Here is a 24,887-nt window from a genome sequence, read left to right as displayed (position 1 = left end):
TTCATCTTATAGGAAGGGTGCTGGAACATGTATGTGTCAGCCTAATACTTACCTTAAAATGTTGTTTACTTTTCTAGCAACAACCTTTAAGGCCCAATCTAGTGGAAACTAGTTGTCCCAACATACGGATGGATCCAAAATTATGCCCTGCTGATCCAGACTGGATTGCTTTTATACATAGCAACGATATTTGGATATCTAACATCGTAACCAGAGAAGAAAGGAGACTCACTTATGTGCACAATGGTAAGGCGTAGTTCTTCAGATTTACTTTTCTGAACAGTATTTTTTGAAGTATAATTTGCTGCTTGCATTTTGAAATTAGATTACCACGTTGGGTGATCTTTATATTTGAAATTCAAGTCTTTAAAATTTTTAAAAAATGGAGAAAAGTACAGAGGATAACTTGTATGTACCACATGTATAATATTCATTTTAATGTTTTAATGTTCATTTTCAAACAGTGAAACAAAAGAACCTCTGACATGATTGTTCTTTTAGCTTGCTAAGACTGCCAGAATTTTCCCAAAACTGTTCTTATTAAAATAAAATTTTAGGCTAGGCATGGTGGCTCATGCCTGTAATCCTAGCACTCTGGGAGGCTGAGGCAGGCAGATTGTTTGAGCCCAGAAGTTCAAGATCAGGATGGGCAACATGGTGACACCTCGTTTGACAAAAAAATACAAAAAATTAGCTGAGCGTAGTGGCATGTGTAGTCCCAACTACCTGGGAGATTGAGGTAGGAGGATCACCTGATCCAGGAGGTCAAGGCTATGGTGAGCCATTGCGCTCCAACCTGGGTGACAAAGTGAGACTCTGTTTCAAAATTAAATAAATAAATAAATACATTTTTAAAAATTAGTTTTGTTTTTGAGAAACAGATAGAAAAACCAATTACACACTCTAAGAAACTACTTGAGGCCGGGCGTGGTGGCTCATGCCTGTAGTCCCAAGCACTTTGGGAGGCCAAGGCAGGTGGATCACCTGAGGTCAGGAGTTCTAGACTAGTCTGGCCAACGTGATGAAACCCTGTCTCTACTAAAAATACAAAAATTAGCCGGAATGGTGGTGCACACCTGTAATTCCCAGCTACTAGGGAGGTTGAGGCGGGAGAATTGCTTGAACCTGGGAGGTGGAGGTTGCAGTTAGCTGAGACTGCGCCACTGCACTCCAGCCTGGGCAAGAGAGCAAGACCCTGTCTCAAAAAAATAAAACTACTTGAGACTGAGGCGGGTAGATCACTTGAGCCTGGACAACATGGTAAGACATTGTCTCTACCAAAAAAAAAAAAAATAGCTGGATGTGGTGGCACGTGCCAGTAGTCCCAGCTACTTAGGAGACTGAGGGAGGAGGATCACTCAAGCCTAGGAGGTCGAGGCTAAAGTGAAACGTGATTGCGCCACTGCACTGCACCCTGGGTGACAGAGTGAGACCCTGTCTCAAAAAAAAAAATTATCTTTCAGTTTTGGAGAGCCTACTTAGTTATTGTCATAATAGAAAAAATAGAACTTTGTAGAACTATGTATATTGTGGGAATATTTAATTAAGTTTTATTGAAGTGGCTATGATAATACTAAGCACTATTCAAAGCACAGAGAGATGTGAATGGTTTCCTCTAAAGGTTTCATACAAATGAAAGATGGGAAATAGTGTATTGCTTTTTCTTTGAACACGTGAACCAGAGTTTAAGTACCATAATGAAGATGATGACTGAAAATTCTTTTGTCTAACTTTTGCTTAATCTTATGTTCACAAAGCTGATTTACTGTCATCTTTCTTAATCATTATCCCCTCATCATCATCAATCATTAGTTAAAATTAATTACAGGCCAGCCGCCACGGTTCATGCCTGTAATCCTAGCACTTTGGAAGGCCGAGGCGGGCAGATCACGAGGTCAAGAGATCGAGACCATCCTGGCTAACACAGTGAAACCCTGTCTCTACGAAAACTACAAAAAATTAGCCGGGCGTGGTGGCGGGTGCCTGTAGTCCCAGCTACTAAGGAGGCCAAGGCAGGAGAATGATGTGAACCCAGGAGGCGGAGCTTCCAGTGAGCTGAGATCACACCACTGCATTCCAGCCTGGGCGACAGAGGGACACTCCGTCTAAAAAAAAAAAGAAAAAAGAAAGAAAATCATTGTTAACAGATATGTTACAGGTTGGAAAACAAAATGATACATATTCTCTCAAGTTTGTTTTTTTGTTCTTTTTTGTTGTTGTTTGTTTTTGAGACAGAGTCTTACTGTGTCACCCAGGCTGGAGTGCAGTGGTGTGATCTCTGCTCACTGCAACCTTCGCCTCTCGGGTTCAGGTGATTCCCCTGCCTCAGCCTCCCGAGTAGCTGGGATTACCGGCTAATTTTTTTGTATTTTTAGTAGAGACGGGGTTTCACCATGTTGGCCAGGGTGTTCTCAATCTTCTGACCTCGTGATACACCCACCTCGGCCTCCCAAAGTGCTGGGATTACAGGCACGAGCCACCGTGCTCAGCCTGTTTGTTTGTTTTTTGTAACAAAGTCTCGCTCTATTGCCCAGGCTGGAGTGCAGTGGGCTATCTCAGCTCACTGTAACCTCTGCCTCCTGCGTTCAAGTGATTCTCATCCCTCAGCCTCCTGAGTAGCTGGGATTACAGGTGCACACCACCACACCTGGTTAATTTTTGTATTTTTAGTAGGGACGGGGTTTCACCATGTTGACCAGGCTGGTGTTGAACTCCTGACCTCAAGTGATCCGTCCACCTCTGCCTCCCAAAGTGCTGAGAACAGGCGAGAGCCACAGCACCTGGCCAGACATAGGGTTTTATAAGAGCACCAATGTGAGACAGTGGTCAGGGAAGGCTTTCCAGAAAAGATGACACCTAAACTGATCCTAAGTAATGTCTATATATTATCCAGTACACTCCTGACAAGGGGACTACGTGAGAAAGGTCTTGATGCAAAAGACATCATGGTGTTTGTGAGGAGTTAGAAGCAGTGTGAAGGTTCTGAAGCATAAGTTCTGAGTCAAGAAGTAGCAAAAGATTGGCAGATAAGGGCCAGGACAAGGGTAGACCATATCTTCTGTAAAAGAACATGGACTTTATCATGATATGAGGGTCCATGGAAAGGTTTTTAACAGTTGAGTGGTGTGATCATCATAATCATATTGTCGATAAGTTGTTCTGGATACTTTGTGGAGGTTAAATTTGAGAAGCATGGGTAGAGACAGGAACACCAAAGCTTGACTGTTGCAGTTATCCAAGTTATATGGCCTAAATCTAGAGCATAGGATAGAGAAAAGGGGATGGAGTAAGGAAAATCTTAAGTTAAAAGTATAGATTTTGGTGTTTAATGGGTCTCCCTTTGAAGTCAGGAAATCAGAACAGCTGTTCTACTACCAATGGCAGTAGAAAGATTAGGTTGGTAGTTAGTAAATCTGTTTTGGAAATCCTAGCGATTTTTTCATGCCCTTTTTTTTTTTTTTTTCAATTTTTTTGAGACAGGGTCTCCTATTGGCTCACTGCAGTCTTCACGGGGCTGCAGCAATCCTCCCACCTCAGCACCCCTGAATAGCTGAGACAACAGGTGTGTGCCACCACGCCTACCTAATTTTTAATTTTTTTTGTAGAGATGAGGTCTCCCAGCACTTTGGGAGGCCAAGGTGGGAAGAGCTCTTGAGCCCAGGAGTTCAAGACCAGCCTGGGCAATGTAGGGAGACCCTGTCTCTACAAAAAAATAAAAAATAATAAAAATTACCCAGACATGGTGTCATGCACCCGTTTCTCAGTTACTCTGGGAGCCGAGGTAGGAGGATCACTTGAGCATGGATAGTCAGGCTCTGTTGCACCACTGCACTCCAGCCTTGGAGTGACTGTATTTGCACCACTGCACTCCAGACTTGGAGTGAGCTATAATTGCACCACTGCACTCCCGCCTTGGTGGCAGATGAAAGAGAGAGACCCTGTCTCTAAAAAAAAAAAAAAGGATATAGAACCGGTTTGAATTTCAAGTCTACCATTTATTAACTGTGTGGCCTTGAGCAGGTTATTTAACCATCTCTTAGTTTCCACATCTGTAAAAACAGATATTAATTAATAGCACATCAACATAGGGTTGTTAGGAGGCTTTAATGAGTTAATATCTATGAAGTATTCAGGATAGTGCCTGAAACATAGTAACTGTTGTGTAAGTATGTGCTTAGATAGAAAGTAGGTAGGGAGTTAATGTCATCAGCTTATTCCACTTACTCACAATAGGTTTCTAAGTGAAAGTCCACTTGAGATGGATTTGGTCTATCAGTATGTACATGTGTTTATTCTTTGCCTGGTGATAGAGGAATTTAAAAGTAATAAAATCCTAGCTTCTGCTCTCAAATGACTTACTGAGACAATGAGATGATACTATTTATTCATTTAATAAATAATAATGGAAGTCTATAATAAACAGTAGGAAGATACAAATGGGGGTTACTTATCTTCATAGTCTTGGCTCTGTAATTAATTCCAGAATTCAAAACACTTTGAAAACTGAGCTTAGTTTTCATTAGGTTGTTACTAAAATTCATTTGGCAGTAACACCTGACCTGAAGTGACCTGAGGATATTGATAAACTTAATATGCTTATCTGTGTAGTGTGCCTATTCATAAGTTTACTGCAGGAATATTGGTGTATATGATTGCAAGGTATTTGGTTACCCTGCTGGAGATATTACATAATGTATTATGGTAGATGTACAATATATGAAAAATCTTGGCCGGGCACGGTGGCTCACCCCTGTAATCCCAGCACTTTGGGAGGCCGAGGCAGGCAGATCACCTGAGGTCGGGAGTTCAAGACCAGCCTGACCAACATGGAGAAACCCTGTCTCTACTAAAAATACAAAATTAGCCGGGGTGGTGGCACACGCCTGTAATCCCAGCTACTCAGGAGGCTTAGGCAGGAGAATCGCTTGAACCCAGGAAGTGGAGGTTGCGGTGAGCTGAGATGGAGCTATTGCACCCCAGCCTGGGCAACAAGAGCAAAACTCCGTCTAAAAAAAAAGAGAGAAAGAAAGAAAACAGAAAAGGAAAGAAAAGAAAGAAAAGAGCTCTCCCAAATTCTGAATTCCAAATATTTCTTTTTGGATTCAAACTTTTTGGATAAAAAAATCATTGGTTTGCACTGTACATTATGTCAGACTATATAGAAAATATAAATAAGCAAAAATAATAAAACTTGCTGGTAAAATTAAAATCAGGCCAGGTGCAGTGGCTCACACCTGTAATCCTAGCACTTTGGGGGGCCAAGGTGAGAGGATTACTTGAGCTCAGGGGTTTGAGACCAGCCTGGGAAACATAATGAGACCTCATCTCTACAAAAATTTTTTAAAAAATTAGCTGGGCTTAGTGACATATGCCTGTGTCCCAGCTACTTGGGAGGCTGAGACAGGAGGATTGCTTGAGCCCAGGAGATGAAGGCTGCAGTGACCCGAGATCTCACCCCTGCGCTCTACCCTTGGTGACAGAGCAAGACCCTGTCTCAAAAATAAAATAAAAAATTAAAGTCACTATGAGATATGTAATGCCTACTAGACTGGCTACAGTGAGAAATATTGAGAACACCAAATGTTGGAGAAGAACTTTCATACTTTGATAGTAATAATATAAAATAATAGAAATACTTTGGATAACTGTTTGGCACTTTCTTATGAAGTTAAACACACACTTACCACACTAACCAGCCATATTACTCGTAGGTATTTACTTAGAAATAAAAACACATGTTCTCAAAAATTCCCTTTTTTTTCTTTTTTGAGACATGGTCTCACTCTGTCACCCAGGCTGGAGTGCAGTGGCATGATCTCGGCTCACTGCATCCTCCTTCTCCCAGACTCAAGTGATTCTCCTACCTCAGCCTCCCGAGTAACTGGGACCATAGGCACCTGCCATCACACCTGGCTAAATTTTGTATTTTTTGTAGAGGCGGGGTTTCACTATGTTGCCAAGGCTGGTCTCAAACTCCTGAGCTCAAGCAGTCTGCCCTCCTCAGCCTCCCAAAGTGTTGGGATTACAGGCGTGAGCCACTGCGCCTGGCCCACAAAAATTCTTACACAGTAATAATGTGGCCGGGCGTGGTGGCTCACGCCTGTAATCCCAGCACTTTGGGAGGCCGAGGTGGGTGGATCACGAGGTCAGGAGATCAAGACCATTCTGGCTAACACAGTGAAACCCCGTCTCTACTAAAAATAGAAAAAATTAGCCGGGCATCGTGGCGGGCACCTGTAGTCCCAGCTACTTGGGAGGCTGAGGCAGGAGAATGGCGTGAACCCGGGAGGTGGAGCTTGCAGTGAGCCGAGATCACGCCACTGCACTCCAGTTTGGGCAACAGAGCGAGACTCCGTCTCAAAAAAAATGTTCATAGCATCTTTAGTCATAATAGCCAGAAACTGGAAACAGACAAGATATCCATTAACAGATAAAAGAACTATGGTATGCAATGGAATACAACTCAGCAGTAAACAGCAACTAACTACTGACACATGTAACAATATTGAAACTCAAAAGAAGCCAAACAAATATATACATACTGTATGATTTCATTTACATGAACTTCTAGAATATGCAAACCTGACCTCTGGTGATAGAAATCAGATCAGTGATTGTTTCTGTGTTGGGACTGGGCCTTGACTGGGAAGGAGCATGAGTACTGGAAGTGTAAGTGGCGATAGGGATGTGGTCATACAAGTATATGTATTTTTCAAAAATAAACAGTACATTTAAGAATTTGTAAATTATAAAGCAATTTTTAAATCCTACTCAAAATCTCACTGCTTGGAGATAACCATATTTCAGTTTATATCAGCACTTTTTAAAAATGCATTTTTATAAATGGAATCACAGTATAAATGCTATTCAATAATCTGATTTATTTTATTCAAGTATATTGTAAACATTTCCTCATGACACAAAATCTTTTTTTTTTTTTTTTTTTTTTGAGACGGAGTCTTGTTCTGTCACCCAGGCTGGAGGGGAGTGGTGTTGTGATCTTGGCTCAGTGCAACCTCCACCTCCCGGGTTCAAGCGATTCTCCTGCCTCAGACTCCTGAGTAGCTGAGAGTACAGGCTCCTGGCACCATGCCTGGCTAATTTTTGTATTTTTAGTAGAGACAGAGTTTCACCATATTGGCCAGGCTGGTTTCAAACTCCTGACCTTGTGATCTGTCCTCCTCGGCCTCCCAAAGTGCTGGGATTACAGGCATGAGCCACCACGCCTGGCCTCAAAATCTTACATAATTATGGCTTTGTGGTTTTCTTTTAAAACGAGTCCCCTTCAAACTATTTGCTGGAAACCTAAGTGTAAAACAGATGAAAGCTGAGCTGCTCCAACTGAATGAGATGAAAGAAGAATGGTCGAATTATATGACCTATAAGATTCACTCTAGGTCTAAAATATACTTCTCTGTGTAAGAGAGTTATATGTCCCCTATACTGTGCTCCTTTTCTTGTAATCTTTTTTCCATGATCCTGCTAATTGGGAAAATAATAACATTTATTTGGAGCATGTACTGTGGTCCAGGCTTTGTTCTAAGTGCTTTATGTGAATTAATTAATTTAATCTTCATATCAACCTCACAAGGTAGCCTTTTCTCATTTACAAATGGGATACTGCAGTGGAATGAGATTGGATGATTTGCCCAAAGTCAGACATTATGGACCCCAGATTTGAACTCAGTCCGTTCAGCTCCAGAGTTTACCACTGTATTCCAGCCACCTTTCCAAATAAACTGAATCATTTTGCTTTGTACCTATGAAAAGATAGCTTTCTGTGATAATTTTGCCTTTTATATTTGTCTAGAGCTAGCCAACATGGAAGAAGATGCCAGATCAGCTGGAGTCGCTACCTTTGTTCTCCAAGAAGAATTTGATAGATATTCTGGCTATTGGTGGTGTCCAAAAGCTGAAACAAGTAAGGGGGTTCAAAATAATATATTATGGGTCAATTAAAGTATTGTTAAGATTCAACTGTCATTTAAGTGCACAGTTCTAAATCTTGGATAATAGATTTGAAAGCGGATAATAGATTCCAAAGTGATGATGATTGATTCATGCCCATAGTTATTTAAAATATGTAGATTAGGCTGGGCACAGTGGCTAACACCTGTAATCCCAGCACTTTGGGAGGCCGAGGCAGGCGGATCACCCGAGGTCAGGAGTTCGAGACCAGCCTGGCTAACATGATGAAACCCCGTTTCTAATAAAAATACAAAAAATTAGCCGGGCATGGTAGCACGCGCCTGTAATCCCAGCTACGCGGGAGGCTGAAGCAGGAGAATCGCCTGAACCCAGGAGACAGAGGTTACAGTGAGCCAAGATCACACTATTGCACTCCAGCTTGGGCAATGAGAGCAAAACTTTGTCTCAAAAATATGTACATTATGGCCGGGCGTGGTGGCTTACGCCTGTAATCCCAGCACTTTGGAAGGCTGAGGCAGGTGGATCACGAGGTCAGGAGATCGAGACCATCCTGGCTAACACCGTGAAACCCTGCCTCTACTCAAAAAAAAAAAAAAAAAATTAGCTGGGCATGGTGGGGGACGCCTGTAGTCCCAGCTACTCAGGAGGCCGAGGCAGGAGAATGACGTGAACCTGGGAGGTGGAGCTTGCAATGAGCCAAGATCACGCCACTGCACTCCAGCCTGGGCGACACAGCGAGACTCTGTCTCAAAAAAAAAAAAAAAAAAGTAGATTATATTTCATCATAATGAAGTCTAGTAAAAACCATTGTATTGTGGTTTAATGCCTCTGGCCCCTCAATTCTCTTTGCCAGTTTTTCTCCTAGAGGCTGGTCTTGGTAATGCTGGCAGCATTGGTGGCAAAATAAAAAATACCACACCTTGGCTGGGCGCAGTGACTCACGCATGTAATCTCAGCACTTTGGGAGGCCAAGGCGGGCGGATCATGAGGTCAGGAGATCGAGACTATCCTGGCCAACATGGTGAAACCCCATCTCTACTAAAATACAAAAAATTAGCTGGGTGTGGTGGTATGCACCTGTAGTCCCAGCTACTCGGGAGGCTGAGGCAGAAGAATCAATTGAACCCGGGAGGTGGAGATTGCAGTGAGCTGAGATTGCGCCACTCTGCTCCAGCCTGGCAACAGAGCGAGACTCCGTCTCGAAAACAAACAAACAAAAAACCACACCTTAATGTGTTGCTATAAAAATGTGTGATTGACTAGAGAGTCTGTTAAACAGATGACCAAATCAGTATATGAATGGATAGGATAAAAGGGAAAAAATTCCTCCCCTTCTTGTGGCAAATTCACAAGTATCTCACTCTCTGAGAAGAAGCTCACTAAAGCATGGCCTTCAAACTTTTTGACCATGATCCAGTTAGAAGTGTACTTATATTGTGGCCTAATACATATACTGTATAGATAAAACTGAAAACGAATTTCAAGAAGCAATACTTATTCTTATGTGTAATGCTCCCTGATACTGTTATGCTGTTTTGTTTTTGTTTTTGGGTTTTTTTTTTTTTTTTTTTTTTTTTGAGGCAGGGTCTCTGTTGTGCAGGCTGGAGTGCAGTGGTGCAATCTCAGCTCACTGCAAAGTCTGCCTCCCGGGCTCAAGCAATCCTCTCACCTCAGCCTCTCAAGTACCTGGGACTACAGGCACAAGCCACTACACCCAGCTAATTTTTGTATTTTTTTTTAGAGATGGGGTATTGCCGTGTTGCCCAGGGTGTGGTTTGTGTGTTGTATTTTAAAAAATACTGATTATGACCCGTTAACAGATTTCATGACCTACTCATGGTTTGGAGCTAGCAGTCTGAACGCTTCTCTAAGAGACCCTGAAAAATACTTTTAAGCCATGTCTTGGATTTGGACATTTTATTTTAAGATGTGAAATGTTTTGTTGTATTTGTTAGAAGATGATTTTTACATAAATACAGAAACTATTCAAAACAACTGAACTGTATTTAAGTAGTATTTATTTTTTTAATAGGAAATATTATACATGTAATTAAATATTTCATTTTTCAACAAAGAATGCATTTTATGGTATGCAAGAACAAAGTCCTACAAAAATGTTTTTCCCTGTTTTAAAAATATGTATACATATCATCTCCAGTTGTTTTCCCTCCAAAAGAAGTGGCTTAACAATAACTCACCTTGCTACTGCAAAGACTAGTGATATTTTCCTACAAAAAAGGCAGCATATTTTATACATAAGTTATTCTTCACTATAAGAAATCTGATACTAGAAGGAACGGTTGGTTATGACTACTCTCTGGAATAATTCTTCTAAATTTTCAATATTTAAATTTCTTTTAAGCTCCCAGTGGTGGTAAAATTCTTAGAATTCTATATGAAGAAAATGATGAATCTGAGGTGGAAATTATTCATGTTACATCCCCTATGTTGGAAACAAGGAGGGCAGATTCATTCCGTTATCCTAAAACAGGTACTGTACTCCATTGGCATTTATATTCACTCATTTCCTCTTTCCAAATAAGATTCTTTCTGTAGTCATCCAAAGGTGTAGCCAACAACATTGGTCATTTCCAGCCTTATTTACGACGGGTTGTTCACTAAGTACCACAAAAATAGATTTTGAATTAAAGGGTGATCTTTTTGATTCTTTTCAAAGGTAGGGATGTCTACACAATTGGTTTCCTCAAGGAATGAATTAGAAGGTATCTTTGCGCCGGGCGTGGTAGCTCACGTCTGTAATCTCAGCACTTTGGGAAGCTGAGGTGGGTGGATCACTTGAGGTCAGGAGTTTGAGACCAGCCTGACCAACATGGTGAAACCCCATCTTTACTAAAAATACAAAATTAGCCAGGCATGGTGGTGCATGCCTGTAATCCCAGCTACTTGGGAGGCTGACGCAGGATAATTGCTTGAACCCAAGAGGCAGAGGTTGTAGTGAGTTGAGATCATGCCATTGCACTCCAGCCTAGGCAACAAGAGTGAAACTCTATCTCAGAAAAAAAAAAAGAAGGTGTCTTTGCTAGCAAATACAGATTTTTAAGTGATATTTTTCATAATAAGTGATTTTTTTCCATTTTGCTTCTTACAGCATTTCAATTGTAAAAATAATACATAATTTCACTTTTCACTTTATTTCATTCTTGCTCTTTTCAGCCCCCCTTTTTTTTATTTTAAATTTTATTTCAGTAGTTTTTGAGGAACAGGTGGTTTTCGGTTACATGGATAAGTTCTCTAGTGGTGATTTCTGAGATTTTGGTGCACCCGTCACCCGAGCAGTGTACACTGTACCCAATGTGTAGTCTTTTATTCCTCACACCCACCACCCTTCCTCTGGAGTCCCCAAAGTCCATTATATCATTCTTATGCCTTTGTGTCCTCATAGCTTAGCTCCCACTTATCAGTGAGAACATGATACTTGGTTTTCCATTCTTGAGTTACTTCACTTAGAATAATGGTCTCCAGCTCCATCTAGGTTGCTGTGAATGCCATTATTTTGTTCCTTTTTATGGTTGAATAGTTGTTGAATTCCATGTTGTATATATACTACATTTTTTTAATCCACTTGTTGGTTGATGGGCAAGCACCTCATTTTTATTTTACTTTTTTAAGACAGTGTCTTGCTGTGTCATTCAGGCTGGAATGCAGTGGTGTGATCTTGGCTCACTATACCTCCACCTCCTGGGCTCAGGCCATTTTCCCACCTCAGCCTCCTGAGTAGCTCGACCAGCCTGGTGCGGCTAATTTTTGTTTTTTGTTTTTGTTTTTTTTTTTGCTCTGTCACCCAGGCTGGAGTGCAATGGCACAATCTCAGCTCACTACAACCTCCGCCTCCCAGGTTCAAGTGATTCTCCTGCCTCAGCCTCCCGAGTAGCTGGGATTACAGGCGCCCGCCGCCACACCTGGCTAATTTTTGTATTTTTAGTAGAAACAGGGTTTCACCATGTTGGCCAGGCTGGTCTCGAACTCCTGACCTCGTGATCTACCTGCCTCAGCCTCCCAAAGTGCTGGGGTTACAGGCCTGAGCCACTGCGCCCGGCCGTTTTTTTTGTGTTGTTTTTTTTTTTTTGAGACAGAGTCTCGCTGTGTCGCCCAGGCTGGAATGCAGTGGCACGATCTCAGCTCACTTCAACCTCTGCCTCCCGAGTTCAAGCAATTCTCCTGCCTCAGCCCCCTGAGTAGCTGGGATTACAGGCGTGTGCCACCACACCTGGCTAATTTTTGTATTTTTAGTAGAGATGGGGTTTCACCATGTTGGTCAGGCTGGTCTCAAACTCCTGACCTCAGGTGATCCACCTGCCTCGGCCTCCCAAAGTGCTGGGATTACAGGCGTGAGCCACTGCACCCTGCCTAATTTTTGTATTTTTTGTAGATATGGGGTTTTACCATGTTGACCAAGCTGGTCTTGAATTCCTGAGCTCAAGTGATCTGCCTGCCTTGGCCTCTCAAAGTGCTGGGATTACAGGCGTGAGACAGCATGCCTGGCATATACGTTACTCTTGACTTAACTAAAGTGTAAAGAGAATTGATCTGGCAAAATTAATTTGAGTAATTTTGGGTAAGCATTACTATTCATTTATGTCTCTTTCTTTCTTTTCTTTTTTTTTTTTTTTTTTTTGAGATGGAGTCTCGCTCTTGTTACCGAGGCTGGAGGGCAGTGGCACGATGTCAGCTCACTGCATTCTCCACCTCCCAGGTTCAAGTGATTCTCCTGCCTCAGCCTCCCAAGTAGCTGGGATTACAGGCGCACACCACCACGCCCAGCTAATTTTTGTATTTTTAGTAGAGATGGAGTTTCACCATGTTGGCCAGGGTGGTCTCAAACTCCTGACCTCAGGTGATCCACCTGCCTCAACCTGCCAAAGTGCTGGGATTACAGGCGTGAGCCACTGCACCCGACCTATACGTTATTCTTAACTAAAGTGTAAAGAGGATTGATCTGGCAAAATTAATTTGAGTAATTTTGGATAAACATTACTATCATTTATGTCTCTTTCTAAAGGTACAGCAAATCCTAAAGTCACTTTTAAGATGTCAGAAATAATGATTGATGCTGAAGGAAGGGTAAGTATAAAATGCTGAGTTGACCTTCTGCGTCATTTGACTAATCTATTCAGCCCAGTAGGGTTCTTTGATACACTTTTTTATTTTTGGACTTGCTGAACTTGCTGAGATATCGGTGGATCATGATTTTAGATTGACCTAATTTTTTACTTGCAAATCATCCTGCTGGTTCATAAGATGGGAATATGGGGATATGCATATTAACCACTCCTTTCCAATAGTTTTTCTGTTCGCCTTTATTCTCCAGATTAATGTTAAAAGAAAAAAAGGTAGTTATTGACTGGTTACCTTCTGTGTTGGGTAGATATCTGTGGTGCATTAAATATCCCACAGTTAATTTGTACTTCTGCTTTCCATTTCGACAGCCAAGTGCTTATAAGCTGCATGCACACAAGACTAGGTAAAAAAGTCTTGCTCTTCTAGACTTTTTTTTTTTTTTTTTTGAGTTAAGAGCCAAGGTTTAACAGGCGAAAGAAAGAGAAAAGAGAATAGCTTTCTCTCCTGCAGAGAGAGAGAGGCTCCCGAGTCAGTCTTCCTCTTCTAGACTTTTTTAAAAACAGCTTTACTGAGATATATAACTCACATGTAATACGATTTATTTATTTAAACTTTAAAATTCAGTGGCTGTTGGTATATTCACAGAGTTTTGCAACCATCACCACAGGCAGTTTTAGAACATTGTTATTACCTCAAAAAGATACCCTATACTCCTGAGCCGTCATCCCCCAACCTCCTCATATCCCCCAGCACTAGGCAACCTTTTTTTTTTTTTTGAGACAGAGTCTTGCACTGTCACCCGGGCTGGAGTGCAGTGGCGTGATCTTGGCTCACTTCAGCCTCTGCCTTCTGGGTTCACATGATTCTCCTGCCTCAGCCTCCCGAGTAGTTGGAATTACAGGCGCACCACCACACCCAGCCAATTTTTTGTATTTTTAGTAGAGACGGGGTTTCACTATGTTGACCAGACTGGTCTCAAGCTCCTGACCTCATGATCTGCCCACCTCGGCCTTCCAAAGTGCTGGGATTACAGGCATGAGCCACCGTGCCCAGCCTAGACAACCATTAATCTACTTTCTATCTCTATAAATTTGCCTATTCTGGACATTTCATATAAGTGGAATCATACAATATGTAGTTTGGTCTCCTTGACTTAGATTGTTTTCAAGGTCCATCCATGTTGTACCATGTGTCAATACTTCATTTATTTTTAATTGATGAATAATACCTTTATATGGATATACCATATTGTATTTATCAGGTGATGAACATTTTGATTGTTTCCATTTTATGGCTATTATGAATAATGCTGCCATGAGTATGTGTGTACAAGTTTTTGTGTGGGCTTATGTTTTCATTTCTCTGGAGTATATACCTAGGAGTAGAATTGTTGAGTTATTGGATGACTATTTTTTTAACCTTTTGTGGAACTGCTAAAGTGTTTTTCCAAAGTGGCTGCACTATTTTATTTTATTTTATTTTATTTTATTTTATTTTATTTTATTTTATTTTATTGTTTGAAGAAAAGTCTCCAGCCTGCCTAATATGGTAAAACCCCATCTCTACTAAAAATACAAAAAAGAGAAAGGTCTCACTTTGTCACCCAGCCTGGAGTATGGTGACACAATTACAGCTCAACCCAGCCTCAGCCTCTCAGGCTCAAGTGATCCTCCTGCCTCCGCCTTCTAAGTAGCTGGGACCACAGGCACACACCACCATGCCCCGCTAATTTTATTTTTCGTAGCGACAGGATTTCCCTATGTTGCCCAGGCTGGTCTTGCACTCCTGGGCCCAAGTGATCCTCTCACTTCAGCCTCCCAAAGTGCTGGGATTACAGGTGTGAGCCACCACACTCAGCATGTACTATTTTATTATATTCCCACCAGCAGTGGATTAGATTTCCAGTTTCTCCACATTATCACCAATACTTCTTCTTGTCCATTATATTTACTATAGCCATCCTATTGTGTTTTTTTGTTTTTTTATTTTATTTATTTATTTTTTTGAGATGGAGTCTTGCTGTGTCCCCCAGGCTGGAGTGCAGTGGTGCGATCTCGTCTCACTGCAAGCTCCGCCTCCCGGGTTCACGCCATTCTCCTGCCTCGGCCTCCAGAGTGGCTGGTACTACAGGTGCCCGCCAAGATGCCCGGCTAATTTTTTTATATTTTTAGTAGAGACAGGGTTTCACCGTGTTAGCCAGGATGGTCTCGATCTCCTGACCTTGTGATTTGCCCGCCTCGGCCTCTCAAAGTGCTGGGATTACAGGTGTGAGCCACCACACCCGGCCCCTATTGTGTTTTAAGTGGTATCTCATTGTGGTTTTGATTTACATTTTTCTGATGGCTAACGATGTTGGGAATCATTTTCTGTGTTTATTAGCCATGTATATATTTTCTTTGGAGGACTGTCTATTCAGATCCTTTGCAGTTTTTAAAAATTATTTATTTTTTAAATTGTGTTTACTAGACTTTTAAAAGAAAAAACTTTGCTTATCCAGGACTATTTCTTTAGTATATTACACAAATGGGCCAAGCACGGTGGCTTACACCTGTAATCCCAACTATTTGGCAGACAGGCAGATCACTTCAGGTCAGGAATTCGAGACCAGCCTGGCCAACATGGTGAAACCCTGTCTCTACTAAAAATACAAAAATTAGCTGGGCGTGGTGGTATATACCCATAATCCCAGCTACTCGGGAGGCTGAGGCAGGAGAATCACTTAAACCCGGGAGGCAGAGGTTGCAGTTAGTCGAGATGGCGCCACTGCACTACAGCCTGGGTGACAGAGTGAAGACTCTCCAGTGTCTCAAGGATCACTTGAGCCCAGGAGTTTGAGACTAGACTGGGCAACATAGGGAGACTCCATCTCTACAAAAAATTTAAAAATTAATATTTTATTTAATTTCATTACAAGCACACACCTTACCTGTAGTCTCAGCTACTCAGGAGGCTGAGGCAGGAGGATCACTTGAGCCTGAGAAATTGTGAAGGCAGTAAGCTGTGATCAAGCCACTGCATTCCAGCTGGGACAACAGAATGAGACCTTGTCTCAAAAAATATATATATATACACACACACACACATATATATGTATAAATAAAATATAATTAGTGTGTGTATATATATATATATATTTCTAGGTGAAATATGGGGAACTAGGGACTATTATTTTTCTGGATACTGGAGTCTAAGGTGATTAAAACTTGATTTTACTAGTTATTATCAAGTGTTCTGTTAGTATCAACTCAAAGAAATAGATTTTTAGGCTGTGTTAAAAGTGCTTATAACTTTTTTAGGCACAGAAATTAAGTACCAGTATAGGTAACCCAGAATTTACTTCTAGATTTGCTATATCCTTTGTTCCTTTTTAATACCTAACTCTGGAAAAATTTTCTGCTTTTTGGATAAATTGTTAAAGTAGACTAGCAAGCTAATTATTTATCTAAATCTTCTATAACTAGATTCTTTTTTTTTCTTTTTTAATAGATCATAGATGTCATAGATAAGGAACTAATTCAACCTTTTGAGATTCTATTTGAAGGAGTTGAATATATTGCCAGAGCTGGATGGACTCCTGAGGGAAAATAGTGCGTATGTTAAATTGTTACTTCTTTATAACTAATTTAGGATCCAGAGCTTTGGAATATTTGTGCTATTAGGTTTGCCTTGTAGTTGGAGCTGCCTTCACATGTAAATTTGCAGTACAGTTATTACTACACAAGGCATTTTTCTTGAATTAAGTGGATTTGTGCATTTGTAATCCTATAGGCATAGGTGCACTGCAGTTGAATTCTGTCTTTATACTCAGCCAGTTATGGTTCACAGTGTTATTTGTGATTAAATCATATGGCTTTAAGGCTCAGACATAAATGTGTATTTTTTAAATTGTATAATTATAGAGCTTTATATGAGGATGATTACAAATAAATAGTTTCTGTGTCTAATGTAGACAACAGGAGTTTCACAAGACTGGCATTTGTTGACATTGATACTAAAGGGAGAAAACTTTTTTTTTTTTGAGTCATGGTCTCGCTTTGTCACCTAGGCTGGAGTGCAGTGGTGCAATCATGGCTCACTGCAGCCTCAACCTCCCTGGCTAAAGCTATCCTCCTGAGTAGCTGGGACTACGGGGACATGCCACCATGTCCAGCTAATTTTTTTTATTTTTTGTAGAGACAAGGTCTCACTGTGTTGTCAGGTTGGTCTCAAACTCCTGGGCTCAAATGATCCTCTTGTCTCGGCCTCCCAACGTGCTGAGATTACAGGTGTGAACCACTGCACTTGGCAGAACTTTTGTTTATATAGACAGGGTCTCTCTCTGTGTCACCCAGACTGTAGTGCAGTGGCATGATCGTAGCTTACTGTAAGCTCGAAATCCTGGCCTCAAGCAGCCCTCTCACCTTGACCTCCCAAAGTGCTGGGATTATAGGCATGAGCCATCATGCCAGCCTACCGGGATAAAACACTTTCACAGGCCAACTATGGTTTTGGAAATTTCAAGAAAGCCACTTTTTATAAATTCTGTTCAAGCTTAAAGTGTATTTTTAATTAACTATTTGTAAGTGATAATTTAATATACACTAAAGCAGTTCTTTCATGGTGATTACAGATATAATTGATAGGTGCCAAAGGAGATAATAGGGAAATCTTTTTCTGATAGCTTGCTTTATTTCTGGTTCTTCTCTTTTATTTATTTAAATAGTGCTTGGTCCATCCTACTAGATCGCTCCCAGACTCGCCTACAGATAGTGTTGATCTCACCTGAATTATTTATCCCAGTAGAAGATGATGTTATGGAAAGGCAGAGACTCATTGAGTCAGTGCCTGATTCTGTGACGCCACTAATTATCTATGAAGAAACAACAGACATCTGGATAAATGTATGCATTTTTTCCTGTATTTGTTTAAATATTTTCTCAGAATGCTAAAGCAAATGAAGTTATATAGCAAACTATCAAAATGCATTTTTTTTTAAGTTTAAAGGGACCATGTTATTTCTTTAGTATGAGCATTTCCAATTGGAGTGATGGTTCCAGAATGGAATGGTTTGTATTGATAGAAAGTAGATGCCATTGAAATGACATCTCCTTGGCTTCAGATTTGTTCCTGGAGATAATAGATATTAAATATACAGCCTCATCAGTGCTCCTGAGAGGACTTCATGAGTCTGGTCTAGAAAAGACTTTCTCTTTTATGTTGGTAAACTGTACCAAAATATACCAATTCTTTTTTTTTTTTTTTTTTTTTTTTTGAGACGGAGTCTCGCTCTGTCGCCCAGGCCAGACTGTGGACTGCAGTGGTGCAATCTCGGCTCACTGCAAGCTCCGCTTCCCGGGTTCACGCCATTCTCCTGCCTCAGCCTCCCGAGTAGCTGGGACTACAGGCGCCCGCCACCGCGCCCGGCTAATTTTTTGTATTTTTAGTAGAGACGGGGTTTCACCTTGTTAGCCAGGATGGTCTCGATCTCCTGACCTCATGATCCACCCGCCTCGGCCTCCCAAAGTGCTGGGATTACAGGCGTGAGCCACCGCACCCGGCCAATATACCAATTCTTAATTGAATTTTGAATTTTCCAATTTAGCAGACAAATTTAAATAAGATACAAAATAAATAAAGCCATCTCACTTCCTAGCTGAATATAAGCTTCATATGATTCACCTATGAACACCTGTTTTCCCCTGAACTATTAGAAAAATTCTTTTTGGAAAACAAAAATAAAAAAAATTACCTCATCTTTCTGTAACAAGATTTATATTATTAAACAAACCTTGTGCCATGTTTCAAGGATTATAGAGATGTTGAGTAAGAAAAAACTTTTGGTCATATTTTTCTTTTTTACTCCATTTGAAAACATTTACTTCTCAGTGGAAAAAGTCTTTGACTAAAGTAAAATAAATCTGAAAGCCCCAAGCAAAATTTATTACTGTAAATATAGCATTCCTTTGGCATTGATGGTTATTTATATTTCAAAGTATATTTATCAAGAAATTTTTCCTGTAGCCTAATTGAATTATGTAGTATTTTCATAATATGTATAGTAAATTTAGCTATTCATTTTACAGATCCATGACATCTTTCATGTTTTTCCCCAAAGTCACGAAGAGGAAATTGAGTTTATTTTTGCCTCTGAATGCAAAACAGGTTTCCGTCATTTATACAAAATTACATCTATTTTAAAGGAAAGCAAATATAAACGATCCAGTGGTGGGCTGCCTGCTCCAAGTAAGAAATCCATTTTATTTTAAAAAAAGAAAAAATGTTGGAAGCAGAAGGTGGGAGGGACAGGGGAATGTATCTTTTGCATGCTTTATAAGCATCAATACTTGCTTTGTTAAACTTAATATGTAAGTTAAACTAAAACATAAATACATGTATGTGTAAAAAACACAGGACAATGTTCTTAATGGATTGACACGTATTATAAAGTATTAATAGTGAATAATCTCTTAAATAACAGGATTACTGATTTTTACTTTTTACTTTTGCCTTGACTGCAATTTTTAATTTGTTTAAAGTGAGCCCATTTAAAAAAAACTATTTTTGGCTGGGTGCAGTGGCTCACACCTATAATCCCAGCACTTTGGGAGGCCAAGGCAGGCGGATCACCTGAGGTCAGGAGTTTGAGACCAGCCTGGCCAACATGGTGAAACACCATCTCTACTAAAAATACAAAAATGATCCGGGCGTGGTGGTGTGCACCTGTAGTCTTAGCTTACTCGGGAAGCTGAGGCAGGAAAATCACTTGAACCCAGGAGGCGGAGATTGCAGTGAGCCAAGATCACGCCACCACACTCCAGTCTGGCAACAGAGCAAAACTCTGTCTCAACAGAAAAAAAGACAACACTATTTTTTTTAAATGTTATGTAATTATTAGATATTTTTACACACTAGATGTTTCTTATACTATCTGCATCTACACTGGAGTTAATTTATAGTTATAGGTCTTTGGATTGATATAATTATGTTGCCCAAAGTAAAATTAAATGTTATATCAGCTGAAGTTAATTTTTCTTTAAAAAGTGGTTTTCCTTAAGTGGTGGTTTTCCTTCTGGAAAATATAATACGGAATGGATGCATAAGCCTAGGAAAAGTAAATGGGTACATAGAACACTTTTCCTGGGTTTTCCTAAAACCGAGTTACAGTTCTCAACTTTAATAATATAGTTTGTTTTAGAATAGGAAGCACTTTATGATAAGTTATGTTGTATGCTTAACTGCCATTTGTAACTTAACAGATTTGGCATGGTCCTTTTTAATAATTGTGGAAAAAGGCCCGGCACGGTGGCTCACGCCTGTAATCCCAGCACTTTGGGAGGCCGAGGCAGGCGGATCATAAGGTCATGAGATTGAGACCATCCTGGCTAACACAGTGAAACCCCCTCTCTACTAAAAATACAAAAAAAAATTAGCCGGGCGTGGTGGTGGGCGCCTGTAGTCCCAGCTACTCAGGAGTCTGAGGCAGGAGAGTGGCGTGAACCCGGGAGGCAGAGCTTGCAGTGAGCCGAGATCGCGCCACTGCACTCCAGTGTGGGCAACAGCAGGAGACTCTGTCTCAAAAAAAAAAAAAAAAAATTGTGGAAAAGTATACATAACAAGATTTAACATTGTGACCATTTTTTCCACTTTTAAGGGTATAGTTTAGTGACATTGAGTATGTTTTTATATATATATACATTTTTTAAATTAATTAATTCATTTATTTTTTTGAGACGGAGTCTCGCTCTTGTCACCCAGGCTGGAATGCAGTGGTGCTATCTCGGCTCACTGCAACCTCCGCCTCCCGGGTTCAAGCAATTCTCCTACCTCAGCCTCCTGAGTAGCTGGAATTATAGGCATGCACCACCATACCCAGCTAATTTTTGTATTTTGGCCGGGCTGGTCTCGAACTCCTGACCTCATGTGATTCACCAGCCTTGGCCTCCCAAAATGCTGGGATTACAAGCGTGAGCCATCTCACCCGGCTGATTATGTTCATGTTGTTGTGCAATCATCACCACCATCTGTCTCCAGAATTTTTTTCATCTTCCAAAACTGAAACTATCCATTAAATAGTCACTTTCTATTACCCCCTTCCCCCAATCTCTGGCAGCCACTTTGTCTCTGTGAATGTAACTACTCTAGATGTCTTATTTAGTGGAGTCATACAGTTTTTGTCCTTTTTTGACTGGCTTGTTTACGTAGCATAATGTCCTCAAGTTTCATCCATTTTGTAGTGCATGTCAGGATTCCTTTCCTTTTTAGGGCTGAGTAAGGTTTCGTTGTATGTATATACCACATTTTGTTTATCTGTTCATCTGTTGATGGGCACTGGGATTGGTTCCACCTTTTGGCTATTGTGAATAATGCTGCTGTGGACGTGGGTGTACAAGTATCTGTTCCTGTCCCTGCTTTCAATTCTTTTGGGTATGTACTCAAAAGTGGAATTTCTGGATCATATGGTAATTCTATTTTCAGTTTTTTGAGGGGCTACCATACTGTTTTCCATAGGAGCTACACCATTGGAACACCAACGGTAGTGGCTACTGCTACCCCATTTTACATTCCCACTAACAGTGCACAGGGTTTTAATTTGTCTACGTTCGGATGATAGTTGTTATATTCTGCTTTTTTAATAATAGCCCTCTTAGTCTTTCTTGCTCCAAGTCATCCTCCTTTACCTTCATATCTACTTCATTTCCTTCTCCCTCCTCTTTGCTTTCTTAAGAGCTGTAATGTAAAACAGTTAGTATTTGTTATCTATATGTTAACATATAATTTTATGTTTTAAAAAAATTAAATTTTATTTTAATTTCTGTCTATAGTATTTAAAGTACTAAATTGATTTTTTAATTTTTTTGTGCTCTTCGAGTTTAAAATATTTTTTTAAACTTACGTGGAACCCTAGGAAAGACACTAATACAGCCTCACCACCTAGGCCTGTCATCAGCTGTCACTCCCCACAGCAATAGATATAAGCAGTGAGGAAAAGAGAAATGATTTTCACTTTTTAAGCTGTTCCTTAGGCCGCTGAGAGAGCCTCATCAAGACAGAAGCTCATAAAAACAAATGGGTGCTGGGTGAGGTGGCCCACGCCTGTAATCCCAACACTTTGGGAGGCTGAGGCAGGCAGATTGTTTGAGTCCAGGAGTTGAGACTAGCCTAGGCAACATGGCAAAACCCCATCTCTACAAAAAAGACAAAAAAAAATTAACCAAGTGTGGTGGCATGAGCCTGTAGTCCCAGCTACTTGGGAGGCTGAGGTGGGAGGATCACCTGAGTCTGGGGAGGTAAAGGCTGCAGTGAGCTGTGATGGTGCCGCTGCACTGTAGCCTGGGCGACAGAGCAGAACAGGAAAAAAACAAAAACAAAACAAATGGGGCATGTTGACATTTGCTATGGTAAACACTTACCTGGGTTATTTTTTGGCAAATGAAGAACAATTGTATTAAACATTTTCTTTTGTGAGTTTTAAAGTAGTTTGTTGCATTTCTAGAAGAAATGCCTTGTTGAAATAGCTGATATGGCTACCTCAGAAGTGCCAGGGAGTCAAGCCAGTCCTAATTCAGTGCCTGGGGATGGATTGCACCGGGCTGGTTTTAATGCCTTTATGGCAGGTCATGTGATGGCCTATGTGGGAGTGAGACAGGGACCCCAGCCCTGCAGCTCTGGACCCTGGCTCCCTGAATGCCATAATAAGGTATATTTGAGTGGCAAAGCTGTACCCCTCACAGTGGCCAAGAGCCAGTTCTCCTGTTCCTCCAAAGCCCACACTCAGAAGATAAAGCTGGCTCGGGGCAGCAGCTGACCCAACTTCCACCTACCACTGGGGTGGAATAGAGGTATTTGGGTCTCTCTAGCCTCTCTCTGTAAATGTCATACTCTCAACTAACTACTGAGTTTAGGGGAGGGGGAGTATCCTGGCAGAAATATCACTGCATTGCCCTGGACTTCCTCCTTTACCCCAGTGTCAGAGGTAGAAGGGTACAAGTAAGAAGGCTGACCAACACCTTTAACACTGACTTTATTTATTTTTAAATCTGAAAATGTCTTGGGAAAGTTTTACAAAAAGAAAAAGAGAAATCAACAGAAACAAGTTATGAAAAAAAAACAACGAAAAGAAATGCTTTGTCAATCCATTAGACTTCTTTGTCTAACCAAAGGTTCAAGAATGCAGGTGCTTTTGAGTTTTCCTCTGGCTTTGCCAAAAAATCTCTTTTGCTGTTTTTGCATTACCTAAATAGATCATTCCATTATTATTCCAGAGTATTGTAAAGACTCATAACTTGGATTTTTTTTAACTGTAGACTTTTTTTATTGAAGTGAAATTCATAAAACGTTAAGTTAACCATTTAAAAATAAACAATTCAGGCCCATGCCTGTAATCCCAGCACTTTGAGAGGCCAAGGCCAGGGGGCTTTAGGCCAGCAGTTCAAGACCAGCGTGGGCAATATAGTGAGACCTCATTGCTACCAAAATAATAATTTGCTGGGTTTAGTGGTGTCTAGTTCTAGCTACTCAGGAGGCTGAGGTGGGAGGAAAGCTTGAGCCTAAGTGGTCAAGGCTGCAGTGAGCTGTGATCATGCCGCTGCACTCCAGCCTCAGCAACAGAGCGAGACTGTCTACAAAAAAATGAAAAATAAAAATAAACAAACAATGCAGTGGCATTTAGTACATTCACAATGCTGTGCAACCATCATCTCTGTCTAGTTCCAAAACATTTTTATTACCCCAAACATAACTTTTTGGAAAAAAGAGCTTAGAGTACTGTTCTTAATTGTTTCATTTGCTTATAGTCTGGTATAATGTACTGAATTATAATTATATTTATCTTCAGGTGATTTCAAGTGTCCTATCAAAGAGGAGATAGCAATTACCAGTGGTGAATGGGAAGTTCTTGGCCGGCATGGATCTAATGTATGTTATTTTATTCTACTGATATGTTTGGTCAGTATTACTGTGTGAATGCAGTGCTAAAAATGAGTAATGTAATTTAATATGACCCCGGTATTTTTTTTTCCGAGACAGAGTCTTGCTCTGTCGCCTAGGGCTGGAGTGCAATGGGGTGATCTCGGCTCACTACAACTTCCACCTCCCGGGTTCAAGCAGTTCTCCTGCCTCTGCCTCCCAAGTAGCTGGGATTACAGGCATGTGCCACCACGCCCGGCTAATTTTTTTGTATCTTTAGTAGACACGGGGTTTCACCATGTTGGCCAGGCTGGTCTCAAACTCCTGACCTTGTGATTCGCCCTCCTCAGCCTCCCAAAGTGTTGGGATTACAGGCGTGAGCCACTGCGCCCAGCCGACCCCAGTATTTTTAAAATATTAAGTTACGGCCTAAAATTACTCAAGTTGTTGGAAAGAAATAATCTTAGTTTAAATGATAAATCTCATTTATTTTATAGCCCTTTTATAGATGTGTTCTGATTACCAAAGGTTATTTTCTTTTCTTTTTTGTGAGACAATGTCTTGCTCTGTCACCCTGGCTGTAGTGCAGGGCACAGTCATGGCTCACTGCAGTCTCAACCTCCCAGGCTCAGACGATCCTCCCACTTCAGCCTCTGGAGTAGCTGGGACTACAGGTGTACGCCACCACGACAAGCTAATTTTTAAATTTTTGGTAGAGACAGGGTCTCATATATATTGTCTGGGCTGGTCTCAAACCTAAACACCTACTACACCTAACTATCTACTACTTGCCCCTACATTTATCAGTTTTCTTTCATGTCATGTTTACTTGTGATAGGTTAGTCTGTCTGTCTTCTCTATTTTCCCTCTATTCTTCTTTTTTTTTTTTTTTGGAGATGGAGTCTCACTCTGTCGCCCAGGTTGGAGTGCAGTGGCATGATCTTGGCTTACTGAAACTTCCACCTCCTGGGTTCAAGCAATTCTCCTGCTTCAGC

General features: G+C 40.8%; 1 protein-coding gene across 33 annotated transcripts in view; it reads left to right on the top strand.

Moving 5' to 3' along the window:
• The window catches only part of DPP8 (dipeptidyl peptidase 8), a 75,223-nt gene that overhangs the window by 19,580 nt on the left and 30,756 nt on the right, over positions 1 to 24,887 (top strand). For 24 of the 33 annotated variants that reach the window (NR_135485.2, NR_135486.2, XR_007064467.1 and 21 more), the window contains 8 exons: positions 78 to 246; positions 7,811 to 7,921; positions 10,292 to 10,420; positions 12,950 to 13,011; positions 16,495 to 16,595; positions 17,711 to 17,888; positions 19,071 to 19,230; positions 23,822 to 23,901. Coding sequence is in view for 28 of the 33 variants with exons in the window: in NM_017743.6 (NP_060213.2) it covers positions 78 to 246; positions 7,811 to 7,921; positions 10,292 to 10,420; positions 12,950 to 13,011; positions 16,495 to 16,595; positions 17,711 to 17,888; positions 19,071 to 19,230; positions 23,822 to 23,901 (990 nt within the window). In the remaining 5 variants the exon portion in view is untranslated. Of the gene's footprint in view, positions 1 to 77; positions 247 to 7,810; positions 7,922 to 10,291; positions 10,421 to 12,949; positions 13,012 to 16,494; positions 16,600 to 17,710; positions 17,889 to 19,070; positions 19,231 to 23,821; positions 23,902 to 24,887 lie in introns of those variants that run through there. The other 9 variants (XR_007064468.1, NM_001438669.1, NM_001438667.1 and 6 more) reach the window with 5 other exon arrangements.

This window comes from Homo sapiens, chromosome 15, assembly GCF_000001405.40.
Source record: "Homo sapiens chromosome 15, GRCh38.p14 Primary Assembly".
In the NCBI taxonomy this organism is placed as follows: Eukaryota; Metazoa; Chordata; class Mammalia; order Primates; family Hominidae; genus Homo; species Homo sapiens.
The sequence above is the reverse complement of the archived record's forward strand: the minus strand, read 5'-3'. Positions and strand labels throughout refer to the sequence as shown.